The 18,525-nt window shown below is 35.5% G+C and overlaps 1 long non-coding RNA gene across 2 annotated transcripts in view; it reads left to right on the top strand.

Annotated features, from left to right (window-relative positions):
* Positions 1–18,525, top strand: part of ZFPM2-AS1 (ZFPM2 antisense RNA 1) — a 280,094-nt gene that overhangs the window by 236,931 nt on the left and 24,638 nt on the right. The window lies entirely within an intron of this gene.

Here is an 18,525-nt window from a genome sequence, read left to right as displayed (position 1 = left end):
TAATTGCATGTTTTTGAAAGATGTAGTTATTAAGAAATAAATCAGTTCTCAAATAAGTAGATTAAAAATAGTTCTAATCATAAACTATCTTTAAAAATACAATTGTTTATAGAAATAGAAATAAAACATCAATGTATATTAAAGAAAATATTATTTATATTGATCTGAACATTAAATTTAAAATAAGTGCTAGAATAATATGAATACATGTTAATTTTAAATGTAGATTGATACATACAAAAATAATTATAGAAATATATGCATACATTGGTTGTCATATATACATACATCTTAACTCTTTCTGTTGAGATGGCCTAGAATCAATGACATCCAGTGGCAACATACATACCTCATGTCAATATCTTGGGTTCTAAATACCATTCTCCAATAGAAAGAATTGAGGTCTTTGAATAAATGAATGATTCTGAAACAGGAGCTAGAAAGAAATTATTTAGGCAGTTAGTAAGGGTAAGAGAGCCCTCAGCAAGGTTTCCCTTTTAATAAAAAGTAGCCCCCAAATAATTTTTCTTTTCTAACAAAGAATAGCCTGAAAAATCAAGATGCAGACATAGAAAAGCAAGCTAGAAGCTTGCACAGGTGAACGCCGGCAGCTGTGCCAATAGGAAAAAGCTACCTGGGGCCAGACATGTTCAATATGGAGGCTCCATCTTACCTTTTCTTTGTCAACCATGTGTACAATAAAGGAACAGGAAACATGGCACCAGCCAGGTAGAGAACCCATCTGCATAATAAAAGATTAGGATGGGGTGGCCAGCTTCTTCATGTGCTACGTAAATGGCAAACCTGGTCTGACCAATCTTTTGGGCCCTGTGTAAATCAGACACTGCCTCCTCAAGCTCGTGTATAAAAACCCTGTGCATTTCACCACAAAACCAGAAGACCCACTTGGGAGCCCCCCTCTCTCTGCAGGAGAGACAGCTTTTCTCTTTCTCTCGCCTATTAAACCTCTGCTCTTAAACTTACACCTTGTGTGCCTGCATCCTTGATATCCTTGGCGTAGGCAACGAACCTTGGGTATTGCCCCAGATGAACGATGCCGCTTTAATTTTAGCAGTGGGTTAAAGAAATTACAAGATGAGTTCAGTAAGAATGGATTGTGAAAATGAGGCATTATGGAGCTTGAAATATATTGTAGAGCCACAAAGACAGAATATTCTGAGGAAAAAAAATAGAGATGTCAAAAAACATAGGAGCCAAACTGAAAGATCTTCTAAGGGCCAAAGTGGGAATAATTTGCGAAACCAAATAATGATAGTATTGGATTATAACATGGGCAATAAAGTAAATATCCATGAGTCCATACTGATAAAAATAAATGACTGAATAAATAAATTGAGAATAAAGGACAAATTTTCCTTAAAGTAGAATGTCAATAACAAATACAGAAGGAAGGAATGAAGAAAGCAAATTATTTAAAGTATAAACAACAGTAACTCTTGCTTTGGGCAGGATCTATTACTGAGTGCTAAAACCAGTAGGTAAAACTTTTAAGAGAAACAGAACATTTGCATAGCCTTAAAATATCTCCCCACAAGCTAATTGACCTCAAGGATGAGTCACAAGCCAGGAAGTATTCACCACGAGCTGACTTAAGAGTCCTTGGGCCTTAAGGGATTATCAGCAGTAATCTAGCAATACTCCTCATGGACTGGGGTGGCAGTGGCTAAGGAGTGAGGCTCCTCTGAATTTGGAAAGGGGAGGGAAGAGTGGTTTGAGAGCCAGGTAGACTTCCAAAGTTTTTGACTCTAGATCTTGACACCCAGACGGCACCTTTGGACCCACCTGGGGCCTGGAGGACCTCACCCTGCTGAAGGAAAGAACACAGGCCTGGCTGGCTTTGCCATCAGCTGATTGTAGAGCCCAGGGCCTTGAGAAAACACAGACAGTAGCCAGGGGGTGGTTACAGCAGGACTTGTGTGTATAAGTGGTTACAGCTGTGCTGGCTTTAGGTCTGACCCAGTGTAGTCATCGTGGTGGTGGCCACAGGGGTGCTTGTGTCATTCTACCCCCATCTTTAGGTGGCTCAGAATAAAGAGAGAGACTTACTTTGTTTGGGAGGAAGTAGATGAGAGAACAAGAGTCTCTGCCTGGTAGTCCAGAGAATTCTCTCAGATCTTGTCCAAGACCATCAAGGCAGTACCTCTACAGGTCTGCAAGAACTACAGCATTACTGGGCTTGGGGTACCCCTTAAAGCAGATATAGATTAGATCACAACACACAAGTCCTTTCAAATATCTGGAAAGTCTTCCCAAGAAGGACAAGTACAAAGAAGCACATATAGCGAAGATGATGATAAATAACTCTTCAAACCCCAGACACAGAAGAACACCTATTAGCATAAACACCATCCAGGAAAACATAACCTCACCGAGTGAACTAAATAAGGCACCAGGGACCAATTCTGGAAACAGAGATATGTGAACTTTCAGACAGAGAATTCAAAATAACTGTGTTGAGGAAACTCAAAGAAATTCAAGATAACACAGAGAAAGAATTCAGAATTCTATCAGATTAACTTAATAGAGATTGAAATTAAAAAAAAATTACACCAAAATTCCAGAGCTGAAAATGCAATTGGCATACTGAAGAATGTGTCAGAGTCTTTTAGTAGCAGAATTGATCAAGGAAATGAAAAAAAAAGGACTTAAAACAATGCAGCACTCCTATACGACGTACAAAATAGCCTCAAAAGACCAGATCTAAGAGTTCTTGGCCTTAAAGAGGAGTTAGAGAAAGAGATAAGGGTAGAAATTTATTCAAAGGGATAATAACAGAGAACTTCCCAATCCTAGAGGAAGATATCAATATTTAAATACAGGAATGTTATAGAACACCAAGAAGATTTGATCCAAAGAAGACTACCTCACAGCATTTAATAATTAAACTCCTAAAGGTCAACAATAAAGAAAGAATCCTAAAAGCAACAATAGGAAAGAAACAACATACAATGGTACTCCAATACCTCTGGCAGCAGACTCTTCCATGGAAACCTTAGATGCCAGGAGAGAGTGACATGACATATTTAAAGTGCTGAAGGAAAAAATGTATACCCCAGAATGGTACATCTGGTGAAAATATCCTTCAAACATGAAGGAGAAATAAAGACTTTCCCAAACAAACAAAATTGACTGATTTTATTAACATCAGACCTGTCCTACAAGAAACACTAAAGGGAGTACTTCAGTCAGAAGGAAAAGGACATTAATGAGCAAAAAGTAATCACCTGAGTGTACAAAACTCGCTGGTAATATTAAATACACAGGAAAACTATTATTATATAATTATATATTTTATATATTATTAAACTATTATAACACTGTAACTGTTGTGTGTAAACTACTCTTATCCTAACTAGAATGACTATACAATGAACCAATCAAAAATATCAATCAACAACTTTTTAAGATATAGTACAAAAAGATATAAACAGAAACAACAAAAAGTTAAAAAGTAGGAGATGAAGTTAAGGTGTAGATTTTTTTAATAGTTTTCTTTTTGCTTGTTTGTTCATGCAAATAGTGTTAAGTTGTTATCAGGTTAATATAATGGGTTATAAGATAGTATTTGCAAGCCTCTTAGTAACATCAAACAAAAAATATACCATATGCAAAAAATAAAAAGCAAAAAAAACCTAAATTATATCACCAGAGAAAATTACCTAAAGGAAGACAGGCAGGGAAAAAAACAAGGAAGAGAAGACCACAAAACAACCAGAAAACAAATTTTAAAAATAGCAGGAGTAAGTCCTTACATGTCAATAATAACATTGAAAGTAAATGTACTAAACTTTCCAATCAGAAGACATAAAATGGCTGAATGGATGAAAAAACAAGAACTATTTATCTGTTGCCTACAAGAAACATGCTTTACCTATAAAAACACACGTAGACTGAAAATAAAGCTATGGAAAAAGATATTCCATGACAATGCGAACCAAAAAAAGAGCAGAAGTCACTATACTTGTATAAGACAAAATTTATTTCAAAACAAAAACTATAAGAAGGGACAAAGAAAGTCACTATATAATGATAAAGAGGTCAATTTAGCAAGAGGATGTAACAATTTTAAGAATATATGTACCCCAAAACTGGAGTATCCAGATATATAAAGGAAATATTGTTAGAGCTAAAGAGAAAGTGATGCGCCCCAATAAATAATAGCCGGAGACTTCAACACCCCACTTTCAACATTAGACGGATCTTCAGACAGAAAATCAAAAAATCAGACTTAATCTGCACTGTACATCAAATGGATCTAATAGATACGTACAGACCGTTTCATCCAATGGCTGCAGAATATACTTTATTTTTCTCAGCACATAGATCTTTCTTAAGGTTAGACCATGTGTTAGGTCACAAAATAAGTCTTCAAATATTCAAAAAATAAAAATAATATCAAGCATCTTCTTTGACCACAATGGAATAAAATTAGAAATTAATAACAAGATGAATTTTGGAAAATATACAAATACATAGAAATTAAACAATATGGTCCCAAATAACCAGTGGTCAATGAAGAAATTAAGGAAATCAAAAAAATTTTTGAACACATGATAATAAAAACACAACATACCAAAACCTGTAGGATACAGAAAAAGAAAAACTAAGAGAGAAGTTTTGCTATAAGCACTTACATCAAAAAAGAGGAAAAATTTCAAATAAACAATCTAATAGTGCATCTTAAAGAATTAGAAAAGCAAGAGTAAACCAAATCCAAAATTAGTAGAAGAAAAGAAATAATAAAGATTAGAACAGAAATAAATGAATTTAACATGACAAAAATCACAAAAGATCAATAAAACAAAAAGTTGATTTTTTGAAAATAAACAAAATTGACAAACCTTTGGCCAGAATAACTAAGAAAAAAAGAAAGAAGATACAAAAAAATACAATCAGAACTGAAAAGGGAGACACTACAACTGATACTGCAGAAATTCAAAGAATCATTAATGGCTACTATGAGCAAATATATTCCGATAAACTGGAAATTCTAGAAGAAATGGACAAATTCCTAGAAACATACAACCTACCAAGATTGAACCATGAAGAAATCCGAAAGCCAAATAGACCAATAACAAGTAATGGGATCAAAACCATAATAAAAAGTCTTCCAGGAAAGAAAAGCCCAGGACCCAATGGCTTCACTTCTGAATTCTACTAAACTTTTGAAGAAGAGCTAATACCAATTTATTCAAACTATTCTGAAAAATAGAGGAGGGAATACTTCCAAACTCATTCTATGAGGCCAGTATTACCTTGGTACCAAAACCAGACAAAGACACATTTTAAGAAAGTAAACTACAGGCCAATATCTCTGATGAACATTGATGCAAAAATCCTCAACAAAACACTAGCAAACCAAATTCAACAATGCATTAGAAAGATAATACATCATGACCAAGTGGAATTTATCCCTGGAATGCAAGGATGCTTCAACGTCTGCAAATCAATAAGTTTGATACAGCATATCAACAGAATGAAGGATACAAATCATATGGTCATTTCAATTGGTTCTGAAAAAGCAGTGGATAAAATCCAACATCCTTTCATGATAAAAGTCCTCAGAAAACTGGAGATAGATGGAACATACTTCAACATAATAGAAGCTGTATATGACAGATCCACAGCCAGTATCATACTGAGTGGAGTCAGGGGTTACTGAAAGCCTTTTCTTTAAGATCTGGAACACAAGGATGCCCCTTGTCACCACTGTTATTCATTGTAGTACTGGAAGTCCTAGCTACAGCAATCAAACAAGAGAAAGATAAAGGGCATTCAAATTGCAAAGGAAGAAGTCAAATTATCTTTGTTTGCAGATGATATAATCTTATTTTTGGAAAAACCTAAATGCCTAAACACAAAAAAACCATTAGAACTGATAAATAAATTCAGTAAAATTGCAGGATACAAGATCAACATACAAAAATAAGTAGGATTTTTATCTGCCAACCATGAACACTGTGAAAAAGTAATCCCATTTACAATAACCACAAATAAAATTAAATACCTAAGAATTAACCAAAGAAGTGAAAGATCTCTATAATGAAAGCTATAAAACTCTGATGAGATAAATTGAAGAGGACACTAAATAATGGAAAGATAGTCAATGTTCATGGATTGGAAGAATCAATATTGTTAAAATGTCCATATTACTCAGAGCAATTTACAGATTCAATGCAATCACTGTCAAAATACCAATGGCATTCTTCAGAAAAATAGAAAAAAATGATCCTAAAAGTTATATGGAACCACAAAAGATTCAAAATAGCCAAAGCTATCCTAAGCAAAGAGAACAAAACTGGATGAATCACATTACCTGACTTCAAATTACACTACAGAGCTATCATAACCAAAATAGCATGCAACTGGCATAAAAACAGACACATAGACCAATGGAACAGAATAGATAACCCAGAAACAAATCCATGTATTTATAGCCCACTCGTTTTCAACAAAGGTGCCAAGAAAGTACACTGCGGAGAAGACAATCTCTTCAATAAATGGTGCTTGGATAACGGGATATCTTTATGCAAAAGAATGAAACCTGACCTCTATCTCTTGCCATATACAAAAATTAAAATGGATTGAAGACTTAAATCTAAGACCTCAAACTATGAAACTACTGCAAGAAAACATTGGGGAAACTCTCCAGGACATGTCTTGAGTAATACCCCACAAGCACAGGCAACCAAAGCAAAAATAGACAAATGGGATCGCATCAAGTTAAAAACCTTCTGCACAGCAAATGATGCAATCAACAAAGTGAAGAGACAACCCACAAAATGGGAGAAAATATTTCCAAACTGCCCATCTGACAAGAGATTAATAATCAGAATAGACAAGGAACTTAGACAACTCTATAGGAAAAATGTAATGATCCTATCAAAAAATGGGCAAAAGATTTGAATAAACATTTCTTAAGAAGACATACAAATGGCAAACAGGCATATGAAAAGGTGCTGAACATCGTTGATCACTAGAGAATGTAAATCAAAAACTACAAGGAGATATTGTTTCACCCCTGTTAAAATGGTTTATATCCAAAAGATAGGCAATAACAAATGCTGGTGAGGATTTGGAGAAAAGGGAACCCTTGTACAGTGTTGGTGGGAATGTAAATTAGTACAATCACTATGGAGAAGAGTATGAAGGTTTCTAAAAAACTAAAAGGTAGAGCTACAATACAATCCTACAATCCCATTGAGGGATTGGTGTATAACCCAAAGAAAAGAAATCAGTATATTGAAAAGGTATCTGCTCTCTCATATTTGTTTCAGTACTGTTCACAATAGCCAAGATTTGGAAGCAATCTAAGTGTCCATCAATAGACGAATACCCAATGGAGTACTCTTCAGCCATAAAAAATAATGAGATCCAGTCATTTACAACAACATGTTTGGAACTGGAGATCATTATGTTAAGTGAAATAAGCCAGGCACAGAAAGAAAAATATCTTTGTTCTCATGTATTTGTAGGATCTAAAAATCAAAACAATTCAATTCATAGACATAGAGAGTAGAACGATGGTTGCCAGAGGCTGGGAAAGTTAGTGGGTGGCTGGGGGTGGGGTGGGGATGCTTAATGGGTACAAAAAATAGTTAGAAATAATGAGTAAGACATACTATTTGAGGCTGGGCACAGTGGCTCACTCTTGTAATCCCAGCACTTTTGGGGGGCTGAGGAGGCTATGTTGCTTGAGCCCAGGAGTTCAAGACCCAGCCTGGGCAACATGGTGAAACCTCGTCTCTACAAAAAATACAAAAATTAGCTGGGCATGGTGGTATGCATCTGTAGTCCCAGCTACTCAGAAGGCTGAGGTGGGAGGATTGCTTAAGCCCAGGAGGTTGAGGCTGCAGTGAGTCATGATCACACCGCTGCACTCCAGCTTGGGTGGGAGAGTAAGACACCATCTTAAAAAAAAAAAACACATACTGTTTGATAGCACAACAGGGTGACAATAGTCAATAATAAAATAATAACCTAATTGTACATTTTTAAGTAACTCAAAGTGTGTAATTGGATTGTTTGTAACTCAAATGATAAATGCTTCAGGGGATGGACACCCCGTTCTCCATGGTGTGCTTATTTCACATTTCATGCCTGTATCAAAACATCTTATGTACTCCATAAATGTATACACATACTATTTACCCACTAAAATGTTTTTTAAAGTTAAAAAATCTCCCCACAAATATTTATTAATTACTATAATGGTTTTAAGACATGAAATTTTTGATTCCCTTCCCTCCAGGAAGTGGAACTTAATACCCCATTCCTTGAATGTTGGCCAGATTTAGTGACTTACTTCTAATGAATAGGGTACAGAAAGGAAAAAAAGAGATAATTTTACAGTAGACAACCTGACAGATACCAACTTACCTAAGTGATCAGGGTTAATATCACAAGTGATAAGTTATGTTGTTATCATGTATCTATGCCCTGATAAAATGTAGTGAGAAGCATTTCACCTCTATGCTGTTCTCCCAAGTCTCTAACTGTAGGCCAACCAGAAGAAAAAAAAAAAAACAGACAACCTCACATTGATAGATATTCTACAAAATATCTGACGTTAAGGTCATAAAAAGTAAAGTAGAAACATACCTTGAAGGAGACTAAGGAAGCATTATGGCTAAATGCAACATGGTATCCTGGGTTGGTTACTGAAACAGAAAAAGGTCGATGAAATTGGAATATAGTTTAGCTAATATTATTGTTCCAATGTAAGTTTTTAAAAAATGTACCATGGTTATATGAAATGTTAATATTAAAGGACATTGGGTAAATGTACATGATCACTCTGTACTATTTTTGCAGATCTTCTGCAAATCTATTTCAAAATAAAGTTTAAAAAACAAACTCTGAATATAAGATCCCATTTATAATATGTATACAAATATATAGCATAAGCAGTATAGTTGTTTTTAGTACATAAGTATAATCCCAGAGATAACTTGCTAAATGAGAAATCCTTTCATTTTTCTGTTTTTTTTAAAATTGAAATGTGCAAAAATTTCAGTTCACATATCTTTAGAAAGACTATTTTTTGTTGCTTCACATGTTGAATCACAAGTGGCTTCTTTTGTAAAGTATATATTTTTAAAATTTATCAAATAATTTATCTGTATTACTTGTGTACATAATGTAAGATTATAAACTTTTCTATTTCATTTCATTGCAATAAAAAACTATCAAATTACAAATAGAAACTCCAACAAAAGAGCTTTCCTCCAAATTAATATAAAATGCAATTACAAAATGAAAAAACTAAATCTTAGACACTGTTTTAACTCTCAGTGTTTAATAAACCTAGATTCCCTATGTTAGTGATAAGGAATTTCCTAATTTAGTGATAAATTTTATATTTGTTTGCTTCTTTGAAACCATTTCACATTTTATTTGTTGAATATATTAATTAAATATTTATAAATGATTTTGAATTAAATGTACCCAAAATTCAGAGGACATGGTAAAAAAAAGTTCAATACCCTTATAAGACATGTACATGAGTATTACTAATTCAAATATTTCTAAAATCTGTTGGTGGAAAATGAAGAAAAAGTGAGTATTGCAATGCAATAATTATTTCACCTTCAACTTCAGCTTTATCACAAGCATTTTGTTCAGTAAATCTATGTGTATGTATGTATACATGACACAAATGTCTTAAAATTAAATTCATAACTTAATTAAAAATATAACATATAAAATTCAATTTAAAATATATGCGTATTTAAAATTTCCCAACTATGACTTCTGTTTTAATTGAAAGAATGTTGTAGCTTATTCTGAAAAATTCTGAATTATGTGTGTGCTATATAGCAATTCCAATAGTGAAGTTTATAGAGATTAGTCATTTAATCTAAGTGCATGTCATGCTTTCCAGAGTAATACATGTGCGCCTTCTGCAGCTGCATATATTGAATCATAATCTTCAGGCCCAATTAGCTGAATAATGACTAAATTTGAAGTACATGCCAAATATTCTTGAATGAATTTATGTGACCTGACTTTGTTTGGTTAATTTATCTCTGTAACTTGCTTGGTGAATGATAGGTGTCAATAAAACAATTTAAGTTACACATTCATTATCTAACTTTCTTGAAAAATGTAAGTTTCAGTTCTTAATTTTTTATTAAATGTGACATTGTATGTGACATGGTTAGGCTTTGTATTCCCACCAAAATCTGATCTTGAATTACAATCCCTGTAATCCCCACGTGTCAAGGGAGAGACCAGGTGGAGGTAATTGCATCATGGAGGCAGTTTCCCCCCATGCTGTTCTCATGATAGTAAGTGAGTTCCCATGAGATCTGATGGTTTTATAAGTGTTTGGTAGTTCCTCCTGCATTCATTCTCCTTCCTGCTGCATTGCGAAGAAGGTGCCTTGCTTCCCCTTCACCACCTTCCATGATTGTAAGTTTCCTGAGGCCTCCCCAGCCCTTGCTGAACTGTGAGTCAATTAAACCTCTTTCCTTTATAAATTACCCAGTCTCGGGCAGTTCTTCATAGTAGTGTGAAAATGGACTAATACAGCATGTTAAGCATTTTGCTAAAATGGCATATTGCAACATAAATGTGTTACCAAACAACAAAAGTAGGTAACTGGTTGTATATTTATACCATATACAACCATATACTACCTGATAAAACCAGAGTAACCAGAGCATTAGACTATCTATAACTTCTACAATGAAATAACTACTCTTCTATTTTTAGTATGTGCCATAGTCTAGTCAGTAATTTCTCACTTTTTTTGTAGATTTCATTGCTTAGTGGGGCTTTGTGCATGTTTGTGGTCAACACACAGGTATATCAAATAGTGGGCAAGCACAGCAGCTCCAAAAGCTGCTGAGCAAAAGAAGAGTAGAGTTAAATTGTCCTTAACTGCTTCTGTCCATATGTGCTTTATCATCAAATACCTTATGCATTGTCTTTGAAAAGAAAGTGTTAGTTACAGTGCCTCTGGACAGGGTGAAAACAAAAGATAGGTTACCTCTGGTTGTCTTTCAGCTTTAATCACATGTTAAAGAGCAATCTATTCACTGGACACGCACCTTCTCCACTGGCAGTGTAGAAGATGTTAGAATTTGGAAACAAAACTGGAAGCCTATGGAACCATCCAATTATTTTGATGCAACTCTTGATAAAAATACTTATGAAAAATTTAAGACAAATTCTGAAAAAGGCTAGGACTTTCCCAGGCAGAATGTGACTTACGGTTATCCTAACTCAGAAAATTCCTATGCCACTGAGTATAACAGGCATCAGGCAGAACTGCAACAAGATAATAAGACATCTGGCTTGAGGTAGAGGCAGTGAGAACTAGGGCCCTAGGAGAAAGAGCGGCAAAGGCTTCTAGACAAATAACTGGGTTCAAACACTTGGCTCCACTAGTTCTGCCATTTGGGGAACTCATTCAACTGCTTTAAGGCTCAATTTGCTCATTGAAAAAATAATAATTATAGGACTCATATAGTAGGTATAACACTTACTGCTCAAAACTGTGTATGTGTAATAGCACATTCTTTTGATCTCTAAATTAAATTGAATCTGCTGCAAGTCTACATCCACTAGACAAACAGGAATTTAATCTGAGCAACATTGGAACTCTAGCCACCTCCCAGGATTAGAATCTAGAACCTATAAAGAAAACCCTTTCATTTCTGGTTCACACTTCAATTTGGAGCATTGTTGCTTCTAGTTCAAGTCCTGACATCAATTGATGAAGATACATCTCTTGCTTTTGTGCCAAGAAAGTGAGAGAATAATTGAAGACGCTACATCATCAAATTGGTTAGAGGAATGGGATGCTTACGTAGGATTGGTTTTGACTAAGATCAGGTGCCATTTACATTGTAGCAGGAGGACGGAGCCTGTGTCTTCACACAGGCATGTCTGTGAGTGTTCTGATGTGAACATCTTCCTGTTACTTCCTGTCTTTGTCTTGAATTTTCTGTCTGTTCCTCTTAAGATTTTTTCTTATGATTTCCATGTTTATTGCCTTCATTCTTTGTTCATCTGAACCACTTACTCTTTCTGTCATGAGACTCTTACTTTAAACCAGCTATGATATTGAGTATGTATTTTTTACATTTACTGAATTTTTATAAATTTTTATGCCTCTATTTCTAATTTTAAAAGAAAAGCTATTTTATCAGTGTATATTTTCCTATGAATATAAAAAGATTGTATTTTGCTTGATTAACTGTTTTCCTTGAGGGTCAATGAACCCCAATAGGGGAAAAAAAAGTTCTGTTCTTAGTGAATTTTATACATTTACACCATCTGAAACCAGATTACATCATATGTAGAAAATGGAATGAATGATCAAAGAAGCATTGCCAAGCAAAAAGCTCTGACATCCTTCTTTAATATGTAGATAAAAACTGTTTGAAATTAATATATTATTTGTATGCAAAATGGAGCAGCTAAGGTTCTTGAAAACAGTTTATTTTCTTTCAATCCTGTTTACTCTATTAATATACTGAGCAAACTCCTTTTTCTAGATAGTGCCAAAGTAAACTTTTTCCCAGCCTGCGTCTGATTTTTCATGATTCTCTGAATTAATAAGGTTTATTAAGCTGCAAATAGATACACCACCTGCTGCAGAGCTGTCATCAGACTCAATTATGCTTCATGATTGGGTCATGAGTGATCAGTTGAGACCTGTTGGTTTAGATATTTTTTATGGAATATTATTGATATTTGTTAATAACATTTGTGTCTCAGTCAAGTTCCAAGAGATTCACCAGCTTGGGATTAACTTAATTTCTGCTGTGCTGCCACAGTTTGTAGAACCTGGCTGGGAGCCATAACTTTTGACAAGGGTGATGGCTCCTGTCTTCTCTCTATATGGCTTCTGTCTGTCTCCACTCCTCTACCTCCCTATTGGCCAGAGTATTTCAATACTTCCCTACAGGAGACTGAAAAATGATCCCCAAAGATATCAGGTCCTAATCTCTAGAACCTCTAAATATTGCCTTGTAGGACAAAAAGATCTTTGCAGATGTGATTTACGATCTTGACATGGGGGGATTATTCAAGATTATCCTTGTGGATCCTAAAGGCAATCATTGATGTTCTTATAAGAGAGGCAGGAGGAAATGACAGACAGAACAGGGGATAATGCTACCATGGAGATAGAGACTGGAGTGATGTAGACACAAGACAAGGAATGCTGACAGTCACCAGAAGCTAGAAAAGGCAAGAAAGTACTATCTCCCTGCGACACTGAAGGAAGGACAGCCCTGCCAACATCTTGATGTCAGACTCTTGGCCTCCAGAACTGTGAGAGAATACAGTTTTGTTTTTTCAAGTCACCAAATTTGTGGTAATTTGTTATCACAGCAGTCATGAAGAACTAATATGTTCCTTTCTCCCTATCTACAGAAAATGTTTATGTTAGATTTATATATACTAGAGCGAGTGAAAGTGGCTAGAATTTTAGCTATTGAGTTGAGTTATTCTGTTCCATCTTAGAAGGAAAGATACAAGTAGAAGATGAGAAGTTGTGATAAGAAAACACAGCACCTTTCAAGCTAAGCTCTCAAGGCTAGTCTATGCCAGTTGATTGTCTGTTCCTACTTTGCTCAGGTCACATTTTCCAGACTCCCTTGCAAGGTGATGTCTGGCTTGCTTTTGCCTATGGAAGCCTATTGGTTGGATATTAAAAGACAGGAAGAAAGGAGAAGCTCTTGTTTTCTGCTTTGGATAGCACCTCTGGTGACAGCAGCAGCAACAGTGGACAATAGCAGATTCCTATGAAACTGGTACACTCCAAGAAGTGGAAGCAAATGCCACCCCATCTCCAGCAGTCTCACTGGTACAGCCTTCAGGGGCTCTGGATTTATCAGTGACATAGATGTTAGTTTGGACTCTTGAGATTCTTCACTATCAGCAGGAGTTTGGCCTCCTGGCTTCCTACAAAGCTATAGTGTGGTAGATCCAATAGCAACATGATAATCATTGTTTCTTGGAAATACCATTTTCCCTCTTGCTCCTCCAGTCTTCAGAGTGATGATGGGTTCCTGAGGTTCCCAATCCCTTTCAACTCCCTCAGGCTATCCAACACTTTTGTAACTATTTCCCTATATAGGGTTGTCTGTTTGACATACTTATGCCAGATACTGGCTTTACAAGGAAGGAGATTTTCATATATGCATGTGGTTTTATTTTCCTGCAATGGTAGTGAAATGATGAACATGCATCCCCATATCAAAAAGCAATGGTTTGAAGACTATCTGGCAAATTATCCCTTTTCATTAATTAGTTAATTAGATCAGGTTCTCAACTAGTCATTTACTTCTTCATGCATTATTCACGCATATATTCATATACCAGCTGTTTTGTATCTCCATTATTCATTCATAAATCCATTCAGAAACCCTTATTAAGGGTCACCATAATGAATCTGTACCAGGTACTAGTTACTAAATTTGTGACTTATTTCACTCTTTAATATCCAGTCCTTTGTTTACTACTTTACGATAATCCAGCAGGAGCAGAATACAGAAATGGCTTATATTAGTTCATGAAATTAGAAGTTGGAGTGTTTCAAACCCACTGAAAATTACTAAGCTCAGCTCTATGCACAAGTGAGTATAAAATAATTTCTGAGTCTTAAATGTCAATAATTTAATATTGACACTTTTCAAAATGAAACTTATAAAGGTTTGGTGTTAGAGAATAATGTTGAAGTTAAAGCTGAAATACTTTGGAGATTGCTAATTATTCTTGCATCTGTGAAACTAAAAATATTTCCTACTTGTACATTTCCCTTATTATGTGACAAGGTGACCCAAGTTAAGATCATTTGAATCTTTGATAATTAGAAACTGGGAAAAAAAAATCTTTCAAAAAAACTATAGGGAATTTTGGCTTTTAAGAATAAAGACAATTTGTTGTGGGGAACGACCATCTTTAGTTATGGGAAAACCACCATTTTCAGTCAACTTATATTTATTAACATTACTGGGTGACAGGAACAAATAGACATGTTTCTGAATGAAAATGTTTGAGATATGGCAACTTCAAGAACTTCAACCATTCTATAAATTAATAGAAAAAAGTTGCTTATGAAATGAATAGTTCTTTTTGTTTTTGCTTTGTTTTCACAGTTTTCATTAGAGAAATGTTTCCCTTCTAAGTATGGATTTAAATTACCCTTTGCCTGTCCTTTCAACTTTTTCTCATTGACCTATTTTATATATTTTCTTCTTTAAGCACTTTCTCAAAGAAAATGAGAAGAGGCCTCAAAGGCAGTGAATTCACTCTAAATATATCGGACTGACTACTGATGCCTCTGTTTTTAAGATATGCAGCCCTTGGCCTGAGTGCTCTGATGACTTGTGGAATCTAATGTGGTGTGGCTAGAAGGATAAGATGGGGGCATCTTAAAGGAGTCAGTATTAAGGCAGGAAGTGATTATTCCAGAGGTGAACTTGTGACTAGGAGGAGCGAAAAACTGCTTCCCTTTGGGTCCTACTGTGAAATTGTTTATGACACCTTAGCACAAGAGGTGTGGATCCACTTATGGTGCAGAGAGTTCAGGTGGTCATCTTGTAAGAAAGCTGGGGGTTAGATGTAGGTCACTGGAGTACTTGAGGGGTATCCTGTACATTGCTTTTCTCTTCTATCTTTCCTGAACTTTAAGGAAATACTGATGGACAGTGTTATTAAGAGTGAGGCATGTCTGATGCTGGTGATTATGTGGTAAGGGGAGAGCAGTGTCTCTTCCCTTGAAACCTGAGTGTGAAAGCAGCTGTCCTTACCTGGAGAAGGTGGTGTTGACCCCCCCTCAGCCCATTCAAGAGCAGTCTCATAAGGGCCACCACACTGGGAAAATCTCAATAGCTTATTAGTCCATATTCTGGCATACAAGCTGGTGGGGGCTTAAGTCATTGAAATTTAGGCATTTAAAGGGAAACGTTGCCTTGCTTTCAAGTCACAGATTGGAGACCAAGACATTTGGCTAACATTGATATCATCACATGCCTTAGTTTTTGCCTTCTGTTTTAATGAAGGAAATAACATGATGTCAGCAGGTAATCGGAGGGCAAAACCCAGGTATCTGATTCTCAATTATTAGCTTTATAACTTTGAGCACTTAAAATCTCTGACCCTTAGTTTTGCCTGAAAATGAGGGCGTTCTCACTGGCTAAAAGGTTTTCAAATAGTGCTCACAGATTCCGTAACAACTTGATTTTCCATTTTAATTTCAATATGAAAACACATATGCTGAATTATTTTAAATTATAGTAGTTTTAAACACTCATATGTGTTACATATTAGAAAGAAGCAATTGAAAGACCAATTATATACTAAATTCTGCTGCCAGCTTAATTAATTTTGCACACAACTTCCCACTCTCTCTGTTTAATTCAAAGGTTCTCCATTGTGGTCAAGGGAAACAACACAGAATACCCTAGGATTGCTTTGTTAAAAAACAAACAAACAAACAAAAAAACTTGAAAACTAGGCTATTCCCATTTAGTAGGCTTTAGAATTCTATAGATGATTGAAATACAACAATCTGAAGAACCGATATAAACCATTGTTCTTTTTACTACCTTCAACTAGATTACTCAACTGACGGTAATATTTTGACTTCAATGTTTATTGAACATGGGACATTTTTTAATCAGTGTGGGTTGAAGATATTTGACTTCTTGTTTGATTTCATCTTCACTAACTTGTACCAAGTCTTGTTGGTTACTCATTAATTCATTATGTAATCTTGTACCCACACTTGTGCTTCTCCATTCACCTGGTACAGGCTCTCATTTCCCCCCCTTCATTTGAAAACATCACTATGGCCTTTTAAATAAGCGTCCTCTGTGTAGCATCTAGACCTCATACTTACTCTATTACCATTCCTAAACATAGTTTTCATTTGATGATGTATTTAAGAGGCAAAGTATAAGGCAAGCCCATAAACCTTAGTCTGCCACTCAAGGTCTTGTGATACCAGATCCCTATTTATACTTTTATTTTCTTTTTTAAATTTATTTTTTATTTTTTAGAGATTGGGTATTGCTACATTGCCCGGCATGAGTACAGTGACTATTCACAGGTGTGATCATAAGGGACTGCAGTCTCCAACTCCTGGGCTCGAGCAATCCTCCCACTTCAGCTTCCTTTTCTTTCCAATCTAAACTCTATTCTTTTGAAAAATTTTTACTCATTTTTCACCCTCACATGCCAGTTGCATTCCACTTTTCTACTGTAACATACAGTGATTGCCACATGTAGAAATACCATTTTCTTCCTCTACACTCTCCAGGGTCTAGTTCTGATCCAAACCTCACTACTTCAACCTATGCTATGTCCTTTTTTCTGTGAACAGCTACTAGAACTTACTTTCAACTATACAAACGATACTTGAAATAAACACCCTTTGGATACCCTGTACAAATATCTCAGGGCGACCTAAAGGTAGCCTTCCTTACCATGGTATCCACCTCTCTAGAACCTACCCTATTTGTGCAGCCTGTCCCAACTCTTTCATCCCATATTGGCTTCCTTTTATCTTTTTGTTCTTTTACTAGACTTAGTCTCACTTACCCTTCATATTTTCTTCTAATTTACCTTTCAATATTTCCCAACACTGTTTGCATATTAGAACCACCTGGAGAGGTTTTATAAGGTACAGATTCTCAGAGCTCACAGGCTTGAGTGTTTCTTTAATTGATCTAGGGTAAGGCCCAGTGTACAAAACTATATAAATAACTGGCATTTTTAAATGTTCCTTAGGCAATTTTAATGAGAGAAGTGTTGAGAAGCACTAAATTGAATCAAATTATAAGCTCTTTGAGGAAATAGTCATGTGTTATATTTCTTTGCCTTCATCCCCTAAATAGTGGATACAAGCCACGTAATCAATAAATATATGTCGGTTTGGCTAATTTTTTTTCTTTCTTTCTTTTTGAAGAGGAAAGAGGACGAAAAAGAGATTGGGGAAGAAAGTCCTCTTAAGAATACTCAGCCCTACCAATTCCAACCTGTGCACCACAAAGGTCTTTCTGAACATCTCCATTGATCCCCAAGGATCTCATACTTTGAGAGATTCCTGTTTCACACTATTAAGCACATTAGTCCTGTTCACCTCACTGTTTAATCACTGACTGAAATGGAAGGCATCAGTTAATTCCGTGATTTCAATTCTGAAAATAGTTATTCTCAACAAGCAAGTGGAGACATGTTTTTGACAACATAGTATTTTTTTTTTATGTTTTGTCACAGTATTTGTATGTTATGCTTAAGGCCAACATTTATGCTCGTTATGTTACCAGATTCAATATGGATGAACAATAGTGCATCACAACCTATCTATCTGTAAAGAGTGTATCTTCTTAGCCTCAAGTGGGTAGTTGCCTTTCCAAGTCAGGAGATTTCTAATTTTGCAGGAGACCATCATGCCTGCCAAGTCACTCTCAATGCTTCTGGCTGGTCCATTAGGCCCACATTCTCTGCTCTCCACTCACCCTCAATATGCAAACTCCTGGA

This window comes from Homo sapiens, chromosome 8 (genome assembly GCF_000001405.40).
Source record: "Homo sapiens chromosome 8, GRCh38.p14 Primary Assembly".
Taxonomy (NCBI): domain Eukaryota; kingdom Metazoa; phylum Chordata; class Mammalia; order Primates; family Hominidae; genus Homo; species Homo sapiens.
This window is presented reverse-complemented; position numbering and strand designations above follow the sequence as displayed.